The sequence below is a fragment of the Homo sapiens genome, chromosome 6 (assembly GCF_000001405.40).
Source record: "Homo sapiens chromosome 6, GRCh38.p14 Primary Assembly".
Classification (NCBI taxonomy): domain Eukaryota; kingdom Metazoa; phylum Chordata; class Mammalia; order Primates; family Hominidae; genus Homo; species Homo sapiens.
Window position 1 is genome coordinate 47,398,831 of NC_000006.12, and position 22,871 is coordinate 47,421,701.

The 22,871-nt window shown below is 38.4% G+C and overlaps 4 annotated features.

Moving 5' to 3' along the window:
* Window positions 15,200-15,249: an enhancer, noted in NCBI's record as "active region_24660". NCBI's record gives its function as "activates an Ori minimal core promoter by ATAC-STARR-seq in GM12878 lymphoblastoid cells {active_cell/tissue: GM12878}" and the evidence as "EXISTENCE:reporter gene assay evidence [ECO:0000049][PMID:35858748]".
* Window positions 15,260-15,319: an enhancer, noted in NCBI's record as "active region_24661". NCBI's record gives its function as "activates an Ori minimal core promoter by ATAC-STARR-seq in GM12878 lymphoblastoid cells {active_cell/tissue: GM12878}" and the evidence as "EXISTENCE:reporter gene assay evidence [ECO:0000049][PMID:35858748]".
* Window positions 15,822-15,871: an enhancer, noted in NCBI's record as "active region_24662". NCBI's record gives its function as "activates an Ori minimal core promoter by ATAC-STARR-seq in GM12878 lymphoblastoid cells {active_cell/tissue: GM12878}" and the evidence as "EXISTENCE:reporter gene assay evidence [ECO:0000049][PMID:35858748]".
* Window positions 21,571-22,084: a transcriptional cis regulatory region, noted in NCBI's record as "candidate enhancer chr6.3292 targeted for multiplex CRISPR interference". NCBI's record gives its function as "positively regulates CD2AP gene expression with high confidence in K562 cells {active_cell/tissue: K562}" and the evidence as "EXISTENCE:mutant phenotype evidence [ECO:0000015][PMID:30612741]".

A 22,871-nucleotide genomic window follows, 5' to 3' on the forward strand; every position in this document is an offset into this window, starting at 1 on the left:
CACCTGGTAGCCTTGTCAGAAATTGAGATGGAATGCAGATCCACTCTTCCCCATGCAGAGGAGAAGTCCCTGGCCAAGCTAGCTTATCTCCAAAAACACAAAGTGAGACTTGGGGGCCAAAGATCCAAGAATTCTGCCTGTCTCTCCAGAGTAACTTATGTTAAAATCTTTCTTTGTGTTTATCTAGATATGTGTATCAATAGTCTATGTATTTGTAGATATATATGTGTATATCTCTGTGTGTATATATCCTCCATATATATCTGTATGGTATACTTATGTGACACACACAACACAAATGAAAGGTTTTTTAATATTATTAAAACAAGAAAATGGGATCATACTAAACCCATTATTATGCAGCCTCTTTTTTCATTTAGTGTATCTTGACTTTCCCTGGTTAAAGTTGAAAAACTAAGGGCCATGAAGAGAAAATGAGTCATCTATCACTAGGAACTAGTTAGTGACTGGGCAGAATCAAAATCTTTATGCCTTCATCCGCTAAACTGCCTGCCTTTGACTCTACCCTCACATGCTTGAGGTGGGTTTCGTAGATTCAAAATCCTTTGCTGGTACAAAGCTTTCCAATTCCTGCTCCTCTGCAGAAGTGCATTACTATTCCAGATCCTGCAGGGCCAAAGCATTGGACAAGGAGTCTTCCTTTATGTTCCTAACTATTCAAAGGAAGACAAGCCTCAGGAAGCTCCCTGGACCCATAAGTGTCAGATGCCCCAGAGGGAGAGTAAATAAGTGATGGAAAGAGGCTGACTCTCTGAAAATTCTGTACTCTCTAATCCTTGTCACAAAGTTTGTATATATCTAATATCTATCTGTTTATCTTAGTGGAAGATAGCATGAACCTCAAAGATCACTACAGAAGATTCATCTATTCTTGGCACAATGCTATGTCTCAGTTTAGGGGAGTGTTTTCTCCATGTCTATTTTATTAGTCAATATAATTTAAACCAAAATATCAGGGGGAAATTGTCAGACATTACATTGTAATTTTTAGGATCATTTAAGAATGGAGACTATGTAAACCCATAACAAACTCCCGGTGCATATCAAGATTAACATGTATATAAGCTCTTCCAAAGAAACTGTCAAATATATTGCGACTATTGAGAAACAATGTTCTACAAACAACTGGTCTCCCTGCTTCTTCCCTTACCTCCCCTCAGTATGTTCTCAGCACAGCAGCTAGATTGATTGTTGTTAAAATAGAACACACATCATGTCATTCTACTCAACTCCAATCTTCCCAAGTGATTCCAATCTATACTATAACAATCATAAAGCTAAGTACTTTGAAGAAAAATAAAACAGGATCAGAGACTGGAGAGTGATGGGAGGTGCCATTTCAGACAGTCATAAGAGAAGGCCTCTCTGAATAGGTGACATTGGAGTCTAAATCCAGTGAGGGACTAAGACTTGCAGCTATGTTAGGAGCCAAGGGAAAGGCAAGATTTGAGTAAGTAGTCAGTAAATACGGCTACCTCAACAGCCCATTATCATTATAGAAATGTACTCCTGTACATTATATAAGTGAATAGATATGAAGGACACAGAGCTATGGCTAAGTGTCTAGGAAATGAAAATAACTTAGACACTTAGCCATAGTACTGAATCCTTCATATCTATTCACCAAAAATTCCATTAAATGAAAACTTTCTATGTAGCAGATGCTGTTGACCCTCATCTCCCTTAGAGTAAATGCTCAAGTATTTTCAATGGCCTAACAGTCCTACCCACTCTTCCCTGCCTCCAACCTGCTCTCTCCCCTCCCCAGCTTCATCTCTGACCCTGTTTCCTATCATTCTCTCCCTCTGTCATTCAACTCAGACATACTGGCCTCCTTGGTGTTCTTAGAATACTCCAGTCATACTCCAACTTGAGAACTGGCATACTTGCATTTTCATTTGCCCAGTGTGCCCATCACCCACATGTCTTTTGTGACTCACTCTTTTGACTTTTCATTGTCTTCACTCAATGTTGTTTTTGCCTAAGTCCTTTTCTGGCTAGCCTTTCTAAAATTGCAGCCCTACCCATCGCACCCTTCGTAAATTCCTTACCCACTTTCCCTGCCTTTTTTTCACCTTAGAAGTTAACACCATCAGCATGCTATACTCGTATCTAATTTTCTTGTCTCCCCATGAGGGCTGAGAATTTTGTCTGTTTTGCTCCTGCTGCATTGCCAGCCACTAGGACAGTGCCAGGCAACATGATATGCACTCTAGAACCACTTGTTGAATGAATAAATAAATGTTTGACAAATTTACTCAATAAAATGATCAGTTTTTCAACAGTACTTAGCATTCCAGTGGGTCACCAGAACCAAAGAAACTGAAAGCAAATTTTTTCCAGAAAAAAGTATTCCAAGTGACATGAGAGTTAACCCTAGGCTTAGTCTAGGACAGAGCAAATGCACTGTGCATTTCCTATATCAGAGATAGCCAGGATCCAGGGAGGTTTCAGGGTTCAGACATTAAGCCAGCCAAATATTCTAAGGGGGACCAAGATAAGAACAAAGTCTTTGTACTGAGTGGTGCCCAGGTGAAGGGCTGTGTAAGTCTTACTAGGAAGAAATTGCCTCTATGAGACTTCTTAGAGGATAGACATTGTTATTGTGTTGGCCCCCAATAGAGTCATTTAAAAACTTCCATCGTCGGGGGTTCATACCTGCTCTTTTCTCTTCTTCCTCATGCTTTACAATTAGCATTCTCTCAACTCTGCCTTCTCAGGAAACTTGCTGCCCTTCTTGTAGAAGGGTGGACGGGACCTGTTCATATTTACTGGAATGTGAATGGAGTAGACCCTGGTAACCCCATTGCTTCACCACAACCAGATGGGAAATTGGTCTCACCCACCCACTGGGGGAATCCTTCGAGAATCTTCATTCTTTTGTTACCATCCTGCGGCACATCTGACACTCCGTGGTGTTCAATAAATGCTGGCTCAAGAGCTAATGATCTATTATTAATGACTTGGGTCAACATAGAGCCTTTACTCCAGAGTTCTTTGCAAGACTGTGGGCATTGTACCTTGTTGGTAATTAGATTATGCCCTAGGGATCTCTGTTTGAAAGGAGGCCTGTCTCAAATGTCATGTTTCAGAATCCTAATTATAAAAATCCATAATTGACTGCCTCCTTAAGAACAACGAGAATGATGGCTTGTGTGCCCCAAGAAGGATGTGCAAGAGGAACACAAACAAGGAAGTGTTGCTGTAGAGAAATGAGATTTTTAAATGTCCTGGGAAAACTTGGTGCTATGGTGCACTGGAGTAAACCCTGCAAATATAAAAACCAAACTGGGAACAAGGCTCATCAATGCTTATGCAAATACTCTCAGGGAAAGCACTCTAAATCTAATACTGGGTCCCCCGAGATGTCGGGGAAGTTTGAAGATAATCACTTGCGACACTCAGGCTTTTCTTGAGACCCAGTTTTAAACAACTGACCTTAGTTCTGAGCTGGATGGATGCCAAAATTGAGTGTCTGCTCAGTTGGAGCCAAATCCTCTCCTAGCTGTCTCTCAAGTCAGTTGGCAATATTTGCTTTGAGTTCTTTTTCCCACTTATGCAGAATTAATTTTGAAGTCTTTCCTCCTTTGGGCTGGAAGTGTTGAGGAAAGCAATGTGTGGTGTTTAGGTCCCAGGTGACACCTTTTTGTTCATGTGTCCGCTTTGTTTTCCGCTTCCTTTGAAGGCCTGTCCACTTTATATAGTGAAGAAGTTTACATTAGGGTGCGCCTCAATTCCACAAGCATCTGTAGACTAATCGCCATCGGTTGAGTCCTCTGTTAAATGTTGAGGTTGTTGAGGCTAGGGGAGAAAGTGTAGAGCTTACAGAGGGAGTGTGTGATGGAGGAAAGAATACAGGCTCTGGAGTGAAACTCTGGCTTCTAATCCTGGCCTCACTACAGATCAGCAGTGAGAACTTGGGCAAGTTATATATGCACAGTAAGCCTCTGTTTCCCCAATTAGAAAACTGGGGTAATAGTTCCAAATCTGAGAGAATTATACTTGTAAACAGATTCAAAATCATACATATTTCTATGATTGCATAAAATAGTAAACAGCCTCAAATGCAACACGTAAGAATAAAGTAAGTTATCATTTTTTTCAATGTATTGTTAGTCCTTAATCTCTAGAAGCCTGACAGTTGAGACAGGAAAATAAACCTCATATGCATGAAAAAAGTAGAGAATAGCAGAGGAAAAATGACTGGATTCAATAATAGAAGGAAAGAAGGCACAAGTTTCAGCATACATGTGTAAGGTAATAAGTGCTGTGAGCAATAAGAAATCACATCACAATTTCTGCCTAGAGAGTTTTTTCCCATCATCTATCATCCAAGCCTCAGTGCTTATATAATTAGAAAATGCAGGGTGTTTTGTTCTCTCTTCCATGAGCATGTCTAATTTAAATTCCGTTGCATTCCAGATCACATGAAATCAACATATAAATGAAAAGCCGTCTGCATTTCTGAAATGAGATGGAACTTTTGACTTTTCTACTTGAAGAAACAGTATCACTGTCACTCTGCTAAAAACTATTTTTTTCTCCTCTCACTAACTATAAAATCAAAAAGGCAGGGAAAATCATGTCCCAAGTTTGATTGAGGGATAGCTCTGATTTGTTACTAAAATTGCTATCAGTAGTTAAAATAATGTACATGTATGTATATATGAGTAATATGTATAGGTAATAATGTACATGTATCTATACATAGGTAACATACATATATAACAGTAATATGTGTTTGTAATGGTAACGTATATAAGTAATAATGTATATGTAATAGTAATATGTATATGTGTGCATATGTAATAGTATGATTATGCAGCAACCATCATCAATGACCAATCTATTTAAACTCCACACTATAACTTTCTGCACGTGTGATGTCTCTTAAGGTCAATGACCCTCTAAATGTAAAAATAGCATGTGTGAGGCCCCACCTATGGTTGTTCAGAGCTCCAGGAAACAGGTGGCATGTGAGTGAAATCAAGATATTTAAGGTACCAGTTGTCCTCCATAAAGTGAACATTTTTAGTTTTCTGACTTGAAGATGTGGATATTTTCAACCTTTTAATTCTAGGCTGCCTTACTCTCGTCTCCATGGTGCAGCACACACCCCGTGAATAAGCCCTGTTTCATCCAAGAAAAACAACCTTTGACCATCCACCTCCTCATATCTCACCTGGGGAAAACCAGTTGGCCTATCTTTGACTGACTTCAACACATCAAAATGTGCACAATGGTCATTTTACTGAAAGTCCTAAAATGTTCATTAAAAAACCAATTCAAACTTAATAATACTACCCTAACTGAGGTAGACTCTTAAAACCAGTTTCTGGTCAATGAGATACCTGTGTCAAATGGTTGTGTAATCAAATTCTTTCCATATCCTGCAAACATAGCTTGATGAGTTTAATTAACGATCATTTTGAATTCTTTTATGCAGACAGGTTTTTTTTCCTAAAGCATTTATGATGCCAGGATTTTTATTTTATTTTATTTTATTTTAGACAGGGTCTTGCTCTATTGTGCAAACAGTGGCGTGATCACAGCTCCTTGAGGCCTCAACCTTCCAGGCTCGAGTGATCCTCCTGCCTCAGCCTCCCAAGTAGCTGGGCCTACAGGCATGCACCACCATGCCTGGCTAATTTTTTCTATTTTTTTTGCAGAGACTGGGTTTTGTCGTGTTGCCTAGGCTGATCTCAAACTCCTGGGCTCAAGCTATCCACCCACTTCGGCCTCCAAAGGTGCTGGGCTTACAGTCATGAGCCACCGCACCTGGCCCAATGCCAGGATTTTAAACAGAAATTTTCCCTTCCAGGCAGCTTTGACAAATCATACATTTTTTTTTCCTTCTAAGATGAGCTTATGTTGGCTGTGATCTCAATCGCACTGATACAGTGCTCCTTTTTAAGGACACAGATTAATTGGAGGTGGGGAAAAGTGTTGGTGTTTAAAGGAAAAACATTTTCTTTTTATATAATTATTGAGTAATTTGGAAGGCATTGTAGAAATCATCCATGTCTTTGTAAAATCCGGGGGCTAGATTGAATTTCCTTTCTGTTTCCTCCAGCTTTAGTGTTCTATGAATCTATCATCCACTCAACTTTGAACTCCTGCTGAACAGTCACCAGGTCTTACTCGTCTTCATACTTCCAAAGGCCCTTACAAGGCCTGGCACGCAGTAGGGCCTCATTACTTGTTTGTTAATGAATGTATAAATCATCCCATATGCTTTGTATGCTTCATTTCAATTCTTTCTGAGTATAGCAAGAATCATATGTTGCCATTCATGGCTCACAATTCTGTTCTTCAGCATCACAAAATCATACTGGTAAAATTTTCCTATTTCATGTTTTATGCTGTAGCTATAGGGTACAAACGCATACTATTTATCATGCTGATGATTTTGTTGAGGTGGATCCGTTTAGTCATTCATTTAATAAATATTTACAGAACACCTACTGGGTAGTTGTATTGCAATGCTGAACTGGACAAAGTTCCCTATAACAAGGAACTTGTCTAATAAAGAAGACAGACAAGTAAACATAAAATAGTATGAGTGTTATAAAGGATAAGTACGACAAGCTGTGGGAACAGAAGAGTAGCTCACCTGGTCTGAGGAATTCAGGAAATGTTTCCCAAAGGAAGTAGTAGATTCAAACCTTAAGGTTAAGAGTGAGGTGGGTGAAACTGGGCAGAGGGCCAGACAGCGTAAAGGGCAGTGAGAATTTCAGATCCCAGAGTGGATGTTTATTTAGAAGGCAATAAAGGACCTGTGGGAGAGGCCAAGCGGGGGACGAAATTTGTGTTTTAGAAAGACCTTTCTAACTGCAGTTAGAAAGTAGAAAGGGGCAGGACCAGAGGCCAGGAGAAGTCTAAGAAGACGTTTAGAGTGGCAGTGAAGATAAAGGCACTGGCAGCAGACATGAAAAGAATTAGATGAATTCTGGATATATTGAGGAAGAAAGTGAATGGATGTATATGGTGGTGAAATGATGCAGGAAAGAAGATGTAAATTCTGATATCTGCTTTGAGAAATTGAGTGGATGGTTGTGTCATCTAGTAGGATAAGAAACACCTTCTAAAGCATTAGCACTTTGGGAAGGAAGGAAAGCAATGATAAATTCTGTAGGGTTGCTACATGATATCCAAGATGAGCTGTCTAACAATGCTAGGGTCTGAATGTTTGTGTTCCTCAAAATTCATATGTTGAAGCCTAATTCCCTATTTGAAGGTGAGGCCTTTCAAAGATAATTAGGTCATGAAGGGAGAGCCCTCATTAATGAGACTGGTGTCCCTATAAGAAGAAACAGATGCCAGCCATGGTGGCTCACATTGTAATCCCAGCACTTTGGAAGGCTAAGATGCAAGGATCATATAAGGCCGGGAGTTTGTGATCAGCCTGGCAATATAGGGAGACCTCATCTCTACAAATAACAATTTCAAAAAATTAGCCAGGTGTGGTGGCACATGGCCATGTCCCAGCCACTTGGGAAGCTGAAGCAAGAGGATCATCCGAGCCTGAGAGATCAAGGCTGCCGTGAGCCATGATTACACCACTGTACTCTAACCTGGGCAACAGAGCAAGACCCTGTCTCAAAAAAAAAAAAAAAAAAAAAAAAAAAAAGAGACAAGACAGATGATCTCTGTCTCATGTGAGGATACACCAGGAAGGTGATCATCTGCAAGCCAGGAGACAGGTCCTAACAGCACCAAATAGACTGTCACAGTGATCTTGGACTTCTCAGTATCCAGGACTGTGAGAAATAAATTTAAATTGTTTAAGCCACCTATTCTATGGCATTTTTATTATAGTAACCCAAACTAACTAAGACGAATAGTTATTTGATTATATAAATCTGTATCTCAGGAAAGAGTTTTGCATTGAAATTATATAATTGACAGTCATCAACATATAGATAGATACTGAAACTATTAAAATGAATGTGCTGAGGGAAAGAAGGTGGCAGGAAAATACTAAGAAATGCCAATCTTTAAGAGACATTCAAATACTTTGCTTACTAATTAATATCACCTGCTCAGTCTCCATTCCTAAGGACCATATACACTCTAGGTCATAGGGATTGACTATGGTTCGAATGTGACCCCCAAGTTCACCTGTTGGTAACTTGATCCCCAGTGTAGAGATGTTGAGAGGGGAGATCTTTAAGAGGTGATTAGGTCATGAGGCTCTACCCTCATGAATTTTTTAATGCCATTATCATGAGAGTGGGTTTGTTATCACAGCAGTGGCTTCCTTATGAAATGAGTTTGACCCCTTTCTCTATCTCTTGCCATCGCTTTGCCCTCTGCCATGAAATGACATAGCAAGAAGACCCTTGCCAAATTCTGGCCCCTAAGTCTTGGACTTCATAGCCTCCAGAACTGGGAGCCAATAAATTTTTGTTCATTATAAATTGTCCAGTCTGTGGTATTTGGTTACAGCAGGAAAAAACAGATGAGGATGGAATCTAACAAGGCGCTTTCTATGGTGATCCTACCTAGGAGCTCTGTGGAGAGACAGAGCAAGGCCTATGTCACTTAAGAATGTCTTACATACATTCTCAATTACTCAGTTAAAATGATTTACAAATTTTGCTTTGTCATATGGGTGTAGAGAAGAGGAAGAGAGTTAATTATTAAACATGTGAATGCCTAAGACATGTTCCTAAGCTTCCTCAAGAATACTTTTTTAGATTACATTGAGCACAACAGACAGGAGGTCCATGAAACTCCATCTAGGATAAAGATGCCTTGTATTTGTTACTAAGCTGTTATTAAGGGGACCCAGCACAATGCTTTGCTTTCACCATCTCCTCAAATCATACACACACACAACTTAATCAAGAGGGAGGAGCAGGTGGAAGAGATGGCAGCCATGATGGTATCAGCAAGAGCAATAGCTGCCAAGAAAAAATTTTTAAAAAGCACTTAAATTCCTGATAACAAACTGAAATCAAGAGCCTTTGGCATAATACTTGAGTCATATTTGTATGATGTCTCAGCAGGTCATAAATGCTGCTTTCAGAATTATTTCTGTAAATAGGGTTAGTCAGAAATATATAACTAAGCAAATAAAAGCTCCTTTTATAATTTTATAACACCCTGGGGACATTGTAGTTATTTTTTATCTTGTTTTGTTTTGCTTCACATAATCTGGAGTGTCCCAGAGCTATTTAAGATCTCATGTGTTGAAACCCTCCAAGTTTGTTGTCAACCTAAGAACAAATATTTTGATTTACTAAGGAACTTAAATCAGATAAGAGATTCTGGGGGATGTAGAATCATCTGAAAATTGTTATCTTAAGAGATTTAGTTATTTCCTTAGTCATGCATCTTCCACAAGCTGCATGTTTTAAAAAGCTAACTTTCTACTAGCACTTCAGTTCTGAGGTCATAATAAATCCCTAAGATTTGACATCTTGGTAAAAATAGACATGTGGATTAATGGCAGATAACAGAGTCCCCAAAATAGAATAACACATCCTGCTTTAAAATTTCGCAAAGTTTTGAGCTCTTTGAATTCTAGCAGGAATCCAGATATTATACATTGGCCCAAGATAATTTTGTAAATAATTTTTAACATAAACAAAAATTTAGCTCACAGCAGCCTTGAACTCCTGGGCTCCAAGTGATCCTCCCACTTCTGCCTCCAGAATTGCTGGAAATACAGGCAAGCAACCCACACTCAGCTAATTTTTTTTTTTTTTTTTTTTTTGGTAGAGACAGGGTCTTGTTGTGTTGCCTGGTCTAGTTTCAAACTTCAAGCTGGCCTCAAGCAATCCTTTCACCTTGGCCTCCCAAAGCTCTAGGATTGCAGGTGTGATCTCCTATATCCCACTCCACTTTTTTCATAGCAGCTTTATTGATAAGGAATTCATATACTATACAACTTACTCAATTTAATGTTTTTTAATGTAAAGTTGTGCAACCCTCACCACAACAAATTTAGGAACTTAGGAATTTAGGAATTTCTAAAATGTTTTAAATTTTAGAAATTACTTTTTTCTTTTTCTTTTAGAATTCGTAAAACATTTACATGATTCCAAATTCACTACCATATGACATGCAAACATTCATCAGCTGATGAATGGATAAACATAATGTGGTATATTCTTTCAGTGAAATACTATTTGGCAATGTAAAACAATTAAAATTATATAGAGTGTGTTCTCCACAATAGAATCAAACTAGAAATCAATAACAGAATAATAGCAGAAAGATCGCCAAACATCTAAATGCTAAACAACACACTTCTAAATAATACTTGTATGAAGAAGAATTCTAAAGAGAATTTTTTTTAATTCAACCGAATAAAAATGAAAATACAACATATCAAAATGTGTAAGATACAGTTAAAGCAATGCCGAGAGGGAAATTTATAGACTAAATCCACACATCAGCAAAGAGGAAAATCTCAAAACATACATTAGGAAAGAAAAATCTCTAAGCTACCTCCTCAATTAGAAAAATCTCTAAGCTAACTCTGGGAATGGGAACCTGCAAAATGAGGAATGTTTGGAGAAAGATACATTCCTTATCAGGCTGATTTGAAGTGAGGCAGAAAAAAAGAAACCCACAGATTTACTTGTGCAGCTAATTATAATTCAACATTATTTAAGCCCTTAATGGCCAAAACTTAATATATTAAAATTTTTCCCCAAAATTCAAAAGACCTAGGGAAAAATAAAAAACAAAATAAAGCCAAAGCAACGACTGGGCTTGGTGGCTTACGCCTGTAATCTCAGTACTTTGGGAGGCCGAGGCAGGCGGATCCCTTGAAGTCAGGAGTTTGAGACCAGCCTGGCCAACAGGGTGAAACCCCATCTCTACTAAAAATACAAAAACTAGCTGGGGTATTGTGGCACGCACCTGTAATCCCAGCTACTCGGGAGGCTGAGGCAAGAGAATCACTTGAACCCGGGAGGCAAAGGTTACAGTGAGCCGAGATCATGCCACTGCACTCCAGCCTGGGTGACAGATCAAGACTTCATCTCAAAAAAAATAAAAATTAAGGCCCGGCGTGGTGACTCACGCCTGTAATCCCAGCACTTCGGGAGGCCCAGGCGGGCGGATCACAAGGTCAAGAGATCAAGACCATCCTGGCTAACACAGTGAAACTCCATCTCTACTTAAAATACAAAAAATTAGCCGGGCATGGTGGCGGGCGCCTGTAGTCCCAGCTACTCGGGAGGCTGAGACAGGAGAATGGCGTGAATCCGGGAGGCGGAGCTTGTAGTGAGCCGAGATCGCGGCACTGCACTCCAGCCTGGGTGACAGAGCGAGACGCCATCTCACAAAAAAAAAAAAGTTACACTAAAAAATAAATAAATAAAAATTAAAATAAATAAACTCAAAGCAAGCAGAAAGGAGATAATAAAGATAAGAACAGAAATCCATGAAATTAAAAACAAAAAATAATACAGAAAATCAATGAAAAAAAGAGCTTGTTCTTTGAAGAGATCAATAAAATTGACAATCCTCTAGCAAGACAGGCAAAGAAACAAAGAGAAAGGATACAAATTACCAACATCAGGAATGAAACAAGGGTATGAATTACAGACCCTTCAGACATCAAAAGGATAACCAGGGAATACTACAGACCACTCTACACATATAAATTTGACAATTTAGATGAAATGGACCATTAAATAACACAAACTACCCTAACTACCCCAATACAAAATAGAGAACTTAAATAGCCCTGTAACTATTAAGAAAATTAAATCTTAATTATCTCCCCCCAAAAAAACTCTATTTTCACTGAAAAATTCTACCAAACATTTAAAGACTTGACACGAATTCTATACAATCTCATTCAGAACTAAAAGAGGAAACACTTCCCAATTTATTTTATGAAATGAGTATTACCTGATAGCAACATAAGACAAAAACAGTATTAAACAGAACACTACAAACAAATATCCCTTATTAATACAGACACAAAACTCTTTATGAAAACATTAGCAAATAGAACATAGCAACACATGAAAAGAATTATACATCATGACCTATTGGAGTTTATTCCAGGGATGTAAGGTTGGTGCAACATTGGAAAATCCATTAATATAATATCATATTAACAGGTTAAGCAAGAAAAATAACATGATCATATCAATTGATTCAAAAAATACACTTCACAATAATTTAACACCCTCAGAAAAATAAGAGTGGAGGGAAACCTTTTCAACTTGATAAAGAGCATCTACAAAAACTATACTTGGTTGGGTGCGGTGGTTCACGCCTCTAATCCCAGCACTTTGGGAGGCCGAGGCAGGCGGATCACTTTCTGAGGCTGGGAGTTCAAGACCAGCCTTGCCAACATGGCGAAACCCCGTTTCTACTAAAAATACAAAAAAAATTACCCAGATGTGGTGGCAGGCATCTGTAATCCCAGCTACTCAGGAGGCTGAGGCAGGAGAAGTGCTTGAATCTGGGAAGTGGAGGCTGCAGTGAGCCAAGATTTCGCCATTGCACTCCAACCTGGGCAACAAGAGTGAAACTCCATGTCAAAAAAAAAAAGAAAAAAAAAAACTACACTTAACATTATACTTAATGAATGGCTTAATGCTTTCTGCCTATGACAGGGAACAAAGCAAGAATATCTGTTCTCACCTCACTTATTTGATATAGCTCTAGCCAAAGCAAAAGGTAATAAAAGGCATACAGATTAGAAAGGAAGAAATAAAACAGCTCATATTTGCAGATGACATGATGCTCTACGTAGAAAAATCCCAAGGAATCTACACACACAAAAAAGTCCTCCTTAAACTAATACATGAGTTCAGCAACATCATAGGATACAAAATAAAGATACAAAAATCAATTATACACATGGATACCAATTTTTAAAATACAGTACCATTGACAATTGCTCTTCCAAAATAAGATGCTTAAGTATAAATCTAACAGACAAGACAGGACTTGTATGCTGAAAACTACAAAATGCTAATGAAAGAAATCAAAGAATATCTAAATAAATGGAGAGACATATCATGTTCATGTATTAAAAGACTCAATATAATAGAGATGTTGCTTCTCCCCATTTGAACAGGTAGAAAAATTGATACACAAATAGCAAATCCTATCAATAGCCTAACCAGATTTTTTAAATAGATTTAGACAAAACTGTTTTAAAATTTATGGAAAGGCAAAGAAATTAGACTAGCTAAAACAATTTTGAAAAAGGAGAATAAAGTGGGAAATATCAGTCTACCCAGTTTCAAGACATTATATAAAAACGGTAAGCAAACCTGTGTGGTAATGGCAGAGGTATAGACACATATATCAATGGGCCAGAAAAAGGCACTCAGAAAAAGACCTAAATAAATATGCCTGGTTGATTTTTGACAAAAATAAAAAAGCAATTCAATGGAGGAAAGATAGGCTTTTAAAATAAACTTTTGATTTCAGAATACTTTTTGAGTCATAGAAAACTTGTGAAGATAGGACAGAGAGTTTCTATATATCTCATTTACTAATTTCCTCTGTTATTAACATCTTGCATTCGTATGGTATATTTCTTACAATTAATAGGCCGATATTAAAACATTATTATTGGCTGGGCACAGTGACTTATGCCTGTAATCCCTGCACTTTGAGAGGCTGAGGTGGGAGAACTGATTGAGGCCAGGAGTTCAAGACCAGCCTGGGCAATATTGCAAGGTTCCATCTCTACAAAAAACATTATTTTATAAAAGTTAGCCAGGTGTGGTAACACACATTTGTGGTCCCAGATGCTCAGGAGGCTGAGGTGGGAGGATCACTTGAGCCCAGGAGTTTGAGGCATGGGGTGGGAATGGGAAGTGACTGTAAGTGAGGGCAAAGTTTCTTTTTGGGCTGAAGAAAATGTTCTAAAATTAGATTGTAGTGATGGTCATATAACTTTATAAGTCTGCTAAAAAGTCACTGAATTGGCCACACATGGTAGCTCACACCTGTAATCCCAATGCTTTGAGAAGCCAAGGCAAGAGGATGGCTTAAGGCTAGGAATTCAAGACCAGCCTGGGCAACATAGTGAGCCCTCATCTCTACAAAAATAAAAATAAAAATTAGCCTGGTGTGGTGGTGCATGCCTGTAGTTCCAGCTACTCTGGAGGCTGTGGCAGGAGGATCACTTGATCCCAGAAGTTTGAGGCTTCAGTGAGCTATGATCACTTCACTGTACTCCACTGGGCAACAGAGGGGACGCTGTCTCTAAAAAATAAATAAATAAAAATAAAAATCACTGAGTTGTAAGCTTTAAACGAGTGAATTTTATTCACCAAAAAAGCTATCTTTAAAAACAAACTATAAACAGAGAAGTCTCTCTTCTATTCCTGTCCTAGACCCCGTTCTCTCCCATCCCCACAGAAAATCATTTTTATTAGTTTTTGGCTTGCCCTACCAGTTTTACTTTGGCAAATGTAAGCAAGTACAAATACATTAAGTGATTTTAAAATTTTGCCTTAAATACTGGCAATTGACAAAAGCAGCTCTATCTAATTGAGAGGTAAGAAGGAACTCCCTGTAAACCTTTTAGAGATTCTAAAAGGACACTTCTGGGGCTCCACAAAAGTTTTAAAGTTTACAACATTAGTTTCAGCGTGTCCAATTACTTCGGAAAACATATGGCTTTTGGCCAGATGTGGTAGCTCATGCCTGTAATCCCAGCACTTTGGGAGGCCAAGGCGGGCAGATCACCTGAGGTCGGGAGTTCAAGACCAGCCTGGCCAACATGGTGAAACCGTGTCTCTACTAAAAACACAAAAATTAGCTGGGCATGGTGGTGCATGCCTCTAATCTCAGCTACTCAGGAGGCTGAGGCAGGAGAATCACTTGAACCCAGGAGGTGGAGGTTGCTGTGAGCTGAGATTGTGCCACTGCACTCCAGCCTGGGTGACAAAGAGAGACTCTGCCTCACAAAAAATAAAAAATAAAAAAAATACGGCTTTTATTAATTTGAGTGAAGGGGTTCACAAATTAACAACAACAAGAAGGAGAGAGAATGCAGATGACAAAATTGCCTTGTGGGAGACCCAGACAGATACAATTAGCAACAGTTGGGAGGGAAGGTTGTAAGTGAAAGGGGCTTGAAAGAGAGAGAGAGAGTTTGTGTGTGTGTGTTGTCTGTGTGTGTGTGTTGTCTGTGTGTGTGTTGTGTCTATCCATCTGTGTAAGAAAGACATTATCTTTAGAGGCTTTTGCTAAGCTGTTCATGATGAGTATCTGAAAGAAGGTCGGGTGTATACCAAGTTCTTCACGCTAATGAGAGAGGAAGAAAGAAGGAAAAGGAAGAAGTCATGCATTTGCCAGTTTCCCATATTGGCCACTAGATGGCAACACCAACCCAAGACAGTCCTCTTCTGAGATGAGAGAAAAGGGTTGTATAGGATTAAGTACACAATTAGTTTGAATAACTTATTCCTATATACCACAGTTTTCAGTCAAGTATTCTTACCTCAGGAAGGGCATGTATAAGTTTATACATGTTTAAATGTATACGTGCATCTAAGAATACAAGCCAGGCAGGCAGACAGAATGCAAAATCTCCACAATGGTTGCTGACATTCTTTGCACTCACTAAATCTTACATATACGGAATTTCTTGACATAAAAATGGATTAGGTCTCAAAAGCGAGAAATGGTAAGGCATTTACTATTTACCGTCTTCAGACCATAAAACCTCTTTAAACTGCAACTTTACTGTCAGCACCTTAGAATCTAAACATAACGTTTCAAAACGTTTCCATGGAGAAGGTTTTGATTTCAACTTAGCATGCCAACAGACCATTTTCTTGTCTTCCCATTGTCTACGTGGTGGAAATTTCTTCAGCTGTAAGCCAGACTGGAAACTTGTAGCCCAATGGGTGTCAAGGATAAAAGGTGTGGTAAGCTCCTTATTCCCTTGTTATTGAGGTGGGACCATCGGCTTCCATTTTCAGTGGTGTTTCCATAAAGATTTTCATCTTCTCCAGCGCCCGAGGCATCAGAAGAATTTATGTGACCCCAAGATCACCTTGAAACCATATTACCGGTTTATGGTTTCCTAAAAGCTTTTTGTGTGATTAGGTTTCGTTTTACTGTTAATCACAACAAGAAACAGGAAGTGGGTAAAAACACCAAAGAGAAAGTTGCAAAGTTTCAAACAATTCCACCATAAATAGTCGCACAATGAGAGTTGTCCCTAGATTTCACTGGAATGTAAATAAAAGCCTTGATCATTCTCACTGCTCGACAGCCACAGTTTCACTTTGTTCTTCATGGCTCTGCCAACCCTCTGAAACTCTCAGTCACGGGGACTGTGCTCTCAGCTTTCCTCCAAGAGATTTCTCCACTGCCATTGCCTCCTGTTTTTTCTTACCTCCTTTTATTTAATATTTACAGGAAAAGCTGTTGATATATGTGGAATGTTTGAGGATACAAAATGAATTAAATGATATTTAATGACATTTGGAAGAAAACCCAGATTTTCCACCCAAGTTTTTCTTCCTCAAAAAGAAAGGCCATTGTGTGCTCTTTCTTACTAGAGTGGGGGATGAAGAGTCCATTGCAAAGTGAAGACTTGGTCCAAAGCTGACCATGCTACAGGCTAGAGACACGGGCAGTCACAGGAAGGGTATGGCATGATGTCTAATATATACTGCACATTCCATATGTTCTATAGTATGCTATTCAAGATCTGCATAATCAAGAAATATTTTCCAATTTAAATTAATTAATGCTGGTCTGGTTTGAATTAGTAGAGAGAAAAAAGTCTAAATTAAATATATTATCAAAGCCTGGGCAACCCAACAAGATCTCATCTCTACAAAAAATAAAGAAATAAAATGAAATAAAAAAATTAGCCAGGCATGGTGGCACATGCCTGTTGTCCCAGCTACTAGGAAGGCTGAGGCAGGAGGATTGCTTGAATCCAGGAAGTCAAGGCTGCAGTAAGTTGTGATCATGTCACTGCACACCAGCAGAGGTGACAGAGAAAGATCCTGTCTGTAAAAAATAAATAAATAAATAAATAAAGGTAGATGCTGCCAATGTCTCAGCCTTTATGATGTCCACCTGCCAGCATCAGGGTCCCTTTGCCCAAAGATTTTCTCTGACCACTGGAGTGCACTTTGCTGCACCAGGCTTAGGGAAATGAACAGATATCTGGGAAGTATTCCTTAAAAAATGACTGATGGGAACTGGTGAGGCAAGACTTCAGCTCATTCACCCCACTGAGGAAATAGCTCTGAGGTTTGTGTTATTCTGGATCTCCAGAGTTGCCAGCTGGATTAAGTTCCAATTGTCCATTACAGTAACTGGCTTGATAACACAGACCATTTATTAGTCTTCAATTCCTTGCCTCTCTTGCCCACTCACTAACAGTATTTCTTGAGATACTGTAATCACCCAACAGGTTCTTCCTGCCAGCGGCACAGACAAAACCAATTCACTGGGACCATGGTATTGCAGTAAAGAAAGAGTTTAATTAACAAAAAGCTGGCCAGGCAGAAGAAGTGGAGCTATCACTCAAATCAGTCTCCCTTAGAACTCAGACCCTATGGTTTTTATGGATAATTTGGTGGGCAGGGGGCTAGGGAATTGATACAGCTGATTGGTTGGAAGTGAAATTATTGGGGTGTGGGAGATGGTGCTCAAGCCTTAAGTCAGCCTCTGAGAGGTGGGGGTCACAGGACCAGTTAAGTCATGAGTCACAGGTCTGGTAGGGTCAGTCAGTTGCTGCAGTGCAAAAACCTGAAAAATATCTCAAAAGACCACTCTTAGGTTTTACAATAGTCATGTTATCTTTGGGAGCAATTGGGAAAGTCACAAATTTTGTGACCTCTGGCTACATGACTCCTGAGCAGTAAATGATTATGGAAACTACGCCTACATATTAGCAGACTTCAGGGCCTTCTATAATCTTAGCCTCATGGCCTTTTGTTAGTTTTCCACCCTTGAGCAAGGAGTGGTTAGTTCCAGGGAAGGGCTACTATCATCCTTGCTTTCAAGTTAAACTATAGACTAAATTCCTCCCATAGTTAGCTTGTCCTATGCCCAGAATGATCAAAGACAGCCAGCCTGTGAAGCCAAAAGCAAGATGGAGTCAGCCATGTTAGATTTCTCTCACTGTCGTAATCTTTGCAAAACCTATTTCAATACCAAATAAACTAATTACTCTCAAATTCTTGTCTCACAGTGTCTGCTTTTAGTAAAATCCAAATTAATAATATATAAAAATGCATTTTTATTGCAGTAAAATATACATAAAATTTAGCATTTCGACCATGTTTAAGTGTTCGGTGGCATCAAGTACATTCACATTGTTGTGCAATCATCACCACCATGCATCCCCAGAAGTCTTTCATGACCCCAAAGTGAAACTCTACACCCATCAAGCAGAAACTCCCCATTTCTCCTTCTCTCAGCCCCTGGTGACCACCATTCTACTTTCCTTCCTTATGAATTTGACTATTCTAAGTACCTCATGTAAATGGAATCATACATTTCCTTTTCTATCTGGCTTATTTCACATAGCATAATATCTTCACAGTTCACCCATGATGTAGCATCTGTTATAATTTCATCCCTTTTTAAAGCTGAATAATATTTCATCGTATGTATATACTACATTTTGTTTACCCATTTAGTCATTGATGGACATTTGGGTTGCTTCCACCTTTTGGCTATTGTAAATCATGCTACTATGAACATTGGTGTACAAGTGTCTGTTCAAGTCTCTCTTTGCTATCAATTTTTTGGGGGTATATACTCAGAAATGGAATTGCTGGATTATGTGGTAATTTTATTTTTACTTTTTAAGGAACCACTACACTGTTTTCCATAGTGACCACACCATTTTACATTTTCACGAGCAATGCACAAGGATTCCAATTTCTCTCTCTCCCTGCCAAGACTTGCTACTTTTAGGGGTTTGTTTTGTTGTTGTTGTTATTTGCTTGTTTGTTTTATTGTAGTCATCTTAATGGGCATAAAGTGGTAGCTCATTGTGGTTTTAATTGGAATTTCCTTAATTATTAATGATGAGCAAACAAACGATGATTTAATTTGTTTATTGGCCAATTTATATATCTTCTTTGTAGAAATGTCAATTCAAGTTTTTGCCCATTTTTATTTTATTTTATTTTATTTATTTATTTTTTTCAAGACAGAGTCTTGCCATCTTGCCCAGGCTGGTCTCAAACTCCTGGGCTCAAGTGAACCTCCTGCCTTGGCCTCCCAACGTGCTGGGATTACAGATGTGAGCCACTGCACCCAACCTTTTGCCCATTTTAAAACTGGATTATTTGGGTTTTTGTTATTGTTATATCATAGGAGGTCTTTATAAATTCTGGATACTAACCTCTTATCAGATACAGTTTACAAATACTCTCTCCTGTTCTGTGGGTTACCTTTTCCCTGCTTTCATAATGTCCTTTTGATCCACAGTAGCTTTAATTTTGATGAAGTCTAATTTATCTACTTGCTTTTGTTGCCTGTGCTTGTGAAGTCATTCAAGAAATTATTATTAAATCCAATGTTATGAGGCTTTTCCTCTGTTTTCTGTTTTTATGTTTTGTTTTAATTGAAATGGAGTCTCTCTGTGTTGGCCAGGCTCAAACTCCTAGGCACCAGTGATCCTCCTGCCTCAGCCTCTCAAATAGCTGGGATTACAGGTACACACCACTGTGCCCAACTTCTTCTGGTTTCAGATTAAGAATTTCATAGTTCTAGGTCTTAATTTAGGTATTTGATTCATTTTGAGATAATTTTTGCATATGGCCTAAGGTAAAGGTCCAACTTCATTCTCTTTCATGTCGTAAATAAATGAATTTTAAAACTAAATAAAGCCTCAATTATATTATGCATAGTTTTGCCAAGGACAAGGGGGAATAGTTTATCTTTAATAGTGATCTTAAATTTGTATTCACATTGTACATTTCTAGTCAATTACCCATGCCATGATAAAAAGACTAATACAATGGCAAGTAGAGAGTGATAATTCGGAAGTCTGTGGTGACTAAACAATGAGGTCTGACTACTGCACAAATGAGTGGTTTTAACTCCAGCATCACCTTCCTGACTTTTGAGGGGCAAATTGATTATAATATTTAAGAGATAAGGATATCCTTCATAAAGGATATGAGAAAGCCATAAATTAGAGTATGTTCATTCTCAGATAAAAGCTAACTTTTAAGTAGTTTGAGATCAATTAAGAAGCATAGATATCCATAGACATTCCATTTCATCCTATTACATACCTAATTTGGTCCCCAGTACAGCTATTTCTAGCTACCCACAAAATCATTTTTAAATACCTAAATGTCATTTGGTTATTATGCCAGAAAGCAAAATATGATTCAGAAATGTAAGTTTTTTCCTTCTATGTTAGAAGGGGAAAAAAAGCACATAGGCTAAAATCTTGATTTAAGCTCTAATTAGCAATAAATCTCAAACCACTTTTAACCTCAGGTCATTCCTGGGTTTTGTAAGAAACCAATAAAAACACATTAAAAGTTTTAGAACTTTGGAGAAAAAAGCTTTAGAAAATGAGTTTGACTTTTAAAATTCTAAAGAAGAAGAAAATAAAAAGAGCTTAGAAATCTCTACCTTTCAGCTTCAAATGCTGGAAGGGGGTTTTTAAGCCTAAAGATGTCTTATGAAAAATTACTGTTACAATCAGTCACTAGGAGGAGGATAACCATTTTTTTAAATAAGAAGGCCAGGCATGAACATTTCAGAATTCCACATTTCTAGTTTAACCAAAGAAAGTTGTCTCCACATTGGCTTTTCTTTTCACTCTGTTTAAAAACAATGAGGTTTCCTGCAAAGGAAATAAATAAAGGGATAGGTACATAGAGCAATTCACTTTTCAAATGCTTTTCCTACATCATGTATAATTATGCCTTACATCTGATTAAAGAAGAGGAATTTCCCCTAATCATCAGGCTCCTTGGCTTTGGCTATGACTGCTTCTTGTCCAGAAATACCTTGGGTATGAATAAACCTGGCAAAGCCTCCTTTTTCATGGATAATCATTAACCAGCAAATCAAATCTCATTTACAATTAGATCATGTTGACTCTCCCTTCCCAGAACTACAGCAAGAATAAAAAGAGGAAGAAGACAATTAAATACAAATTAATTTCTGTTTGATTCTCAAGAACTGGATAATTCTGGCTTTCTTTCCTCATTTTTCTCCAAAAATATCCCAAATGATTATTCAGTTAGCTATTACATTATTTTTAAACAATATAGTAATAAGTTTTCCTTAGAGATACTATCCCCCAAATGAATAACAAATGGATGAAAGGCAGGAAAACGAAACAGAAAGGCAGTAATAAGCCAACACATATTGATTAAATATACTATTTATTGTATGCTTAGCAATGTTGCCAAAACCTTGTATTTTGTTAGCTGAATTTGGCTTGAAGTTTCCCATGGTAGAACTCAACTTCAATATCTTCTGCTTTTCATCTTGGCAAATACTTAATCAACTTATTAAGAAAAAAAAAGAGCATCCCTGCCTCCGGCATTCAGTTTTCTCCTTTGCATTCTGTACGTTGTTGTCTGTCCTGTAGAAGAGTGAGCAGCTGGGATTCTTGACTCCTCTATCTCTTCCCCACCACCAGCTCAATGGCTAGTGGGCTATTAGGAAGCAGTATGGCTTCCAGGTGTTGTATCAGATGCTCAACTAATCATAGCATCAGAATTAAAATATTTAGTTGCAAGGAAAACAGCTGTGGGTGGCTGAAGGACCAACCTTCTAAACTCTGAGTCATCCCCTGGAATGGACTGCTGTGTAAATATATTCACACCCACCCAATTTATCTCGACCTCCAGAAATTATCTTGAACAAAGCAGGCATTTCACTGCATTGGCTCTCAGACTTGCCTTCCTGGAAACAACCTTTTCTGGAAGGGAGGCTCAAGACATATTTACTAAGAACTCTGAACCACCAGGAAGCCTTAAAGCAAGACCTGTGCTTCTATAGTTCACATATTCTATCCTATGAAAGATGTAGATAAGTATTAATTTAGAATCTTCTTCAACCTGTTCAGCTGTGTTGCAAAATAGTAGATACGTTTCCCAGTAAAGAATTGAAATACCAGCAACTGGCACTGATAGCTAATGCTCCATTATTTCTGTGCATAAATCCACGCTGAACTTCCCTTTTTTTTCTTGTTTTTTGTTTTTTTGAGGCAGTATTTCACTCTGTCACCCAGGCTCACTGCAACCTCCATTCCCAGGTTCAAACAGTCCCCCCACCTCAGCCTCCCAGAGTAGCTGGGACTACAGGTGTGTGCCACCACACCCAGCTAATTTTTGTATTTTTTTTGGTAGAGACAGTCTTTCACCATGTTGGCCAGACTGGTCTTGAACTCCTCATTTCAAGTGATCTGCCCGCCTCAGCCTCCCAAAATGCTGGGATCACAGGCATGAGCCACCATACCCAGCCTATGAACATTCCATAACCATTTTGCCCTTGTGATGTCATCACTCTACCATTTTGTTTCTGGACTATCTCCCTGCAACGTAAGTTAACATGTGCTCAGGTAATAAAATTTATTATAATGTTAATATGGGTGAGTAAAATAAGTAGTAAAAATTATATTAAGACAAAGTATTTCCTTATTTCTCATTATTCTAAAATTTTTTCCTCCATTGCCTGTCAATTTAAATATTTATATACTCAGCAACCATTTTTATTAGTTATTACCTTAAGTTTAATATTCTGCTCTCAATTCTAAAAGGTATTTGGGGAAAAAAAGGGGAGTAGCGGGACAGATCAATGAAATTATGTAGATAATCAGTAATAAAACCAAGACTGGGCCATACACAGTGGCTCACGCTTGCAATCCCAGCACTTTGGAAGGCCGAGACATG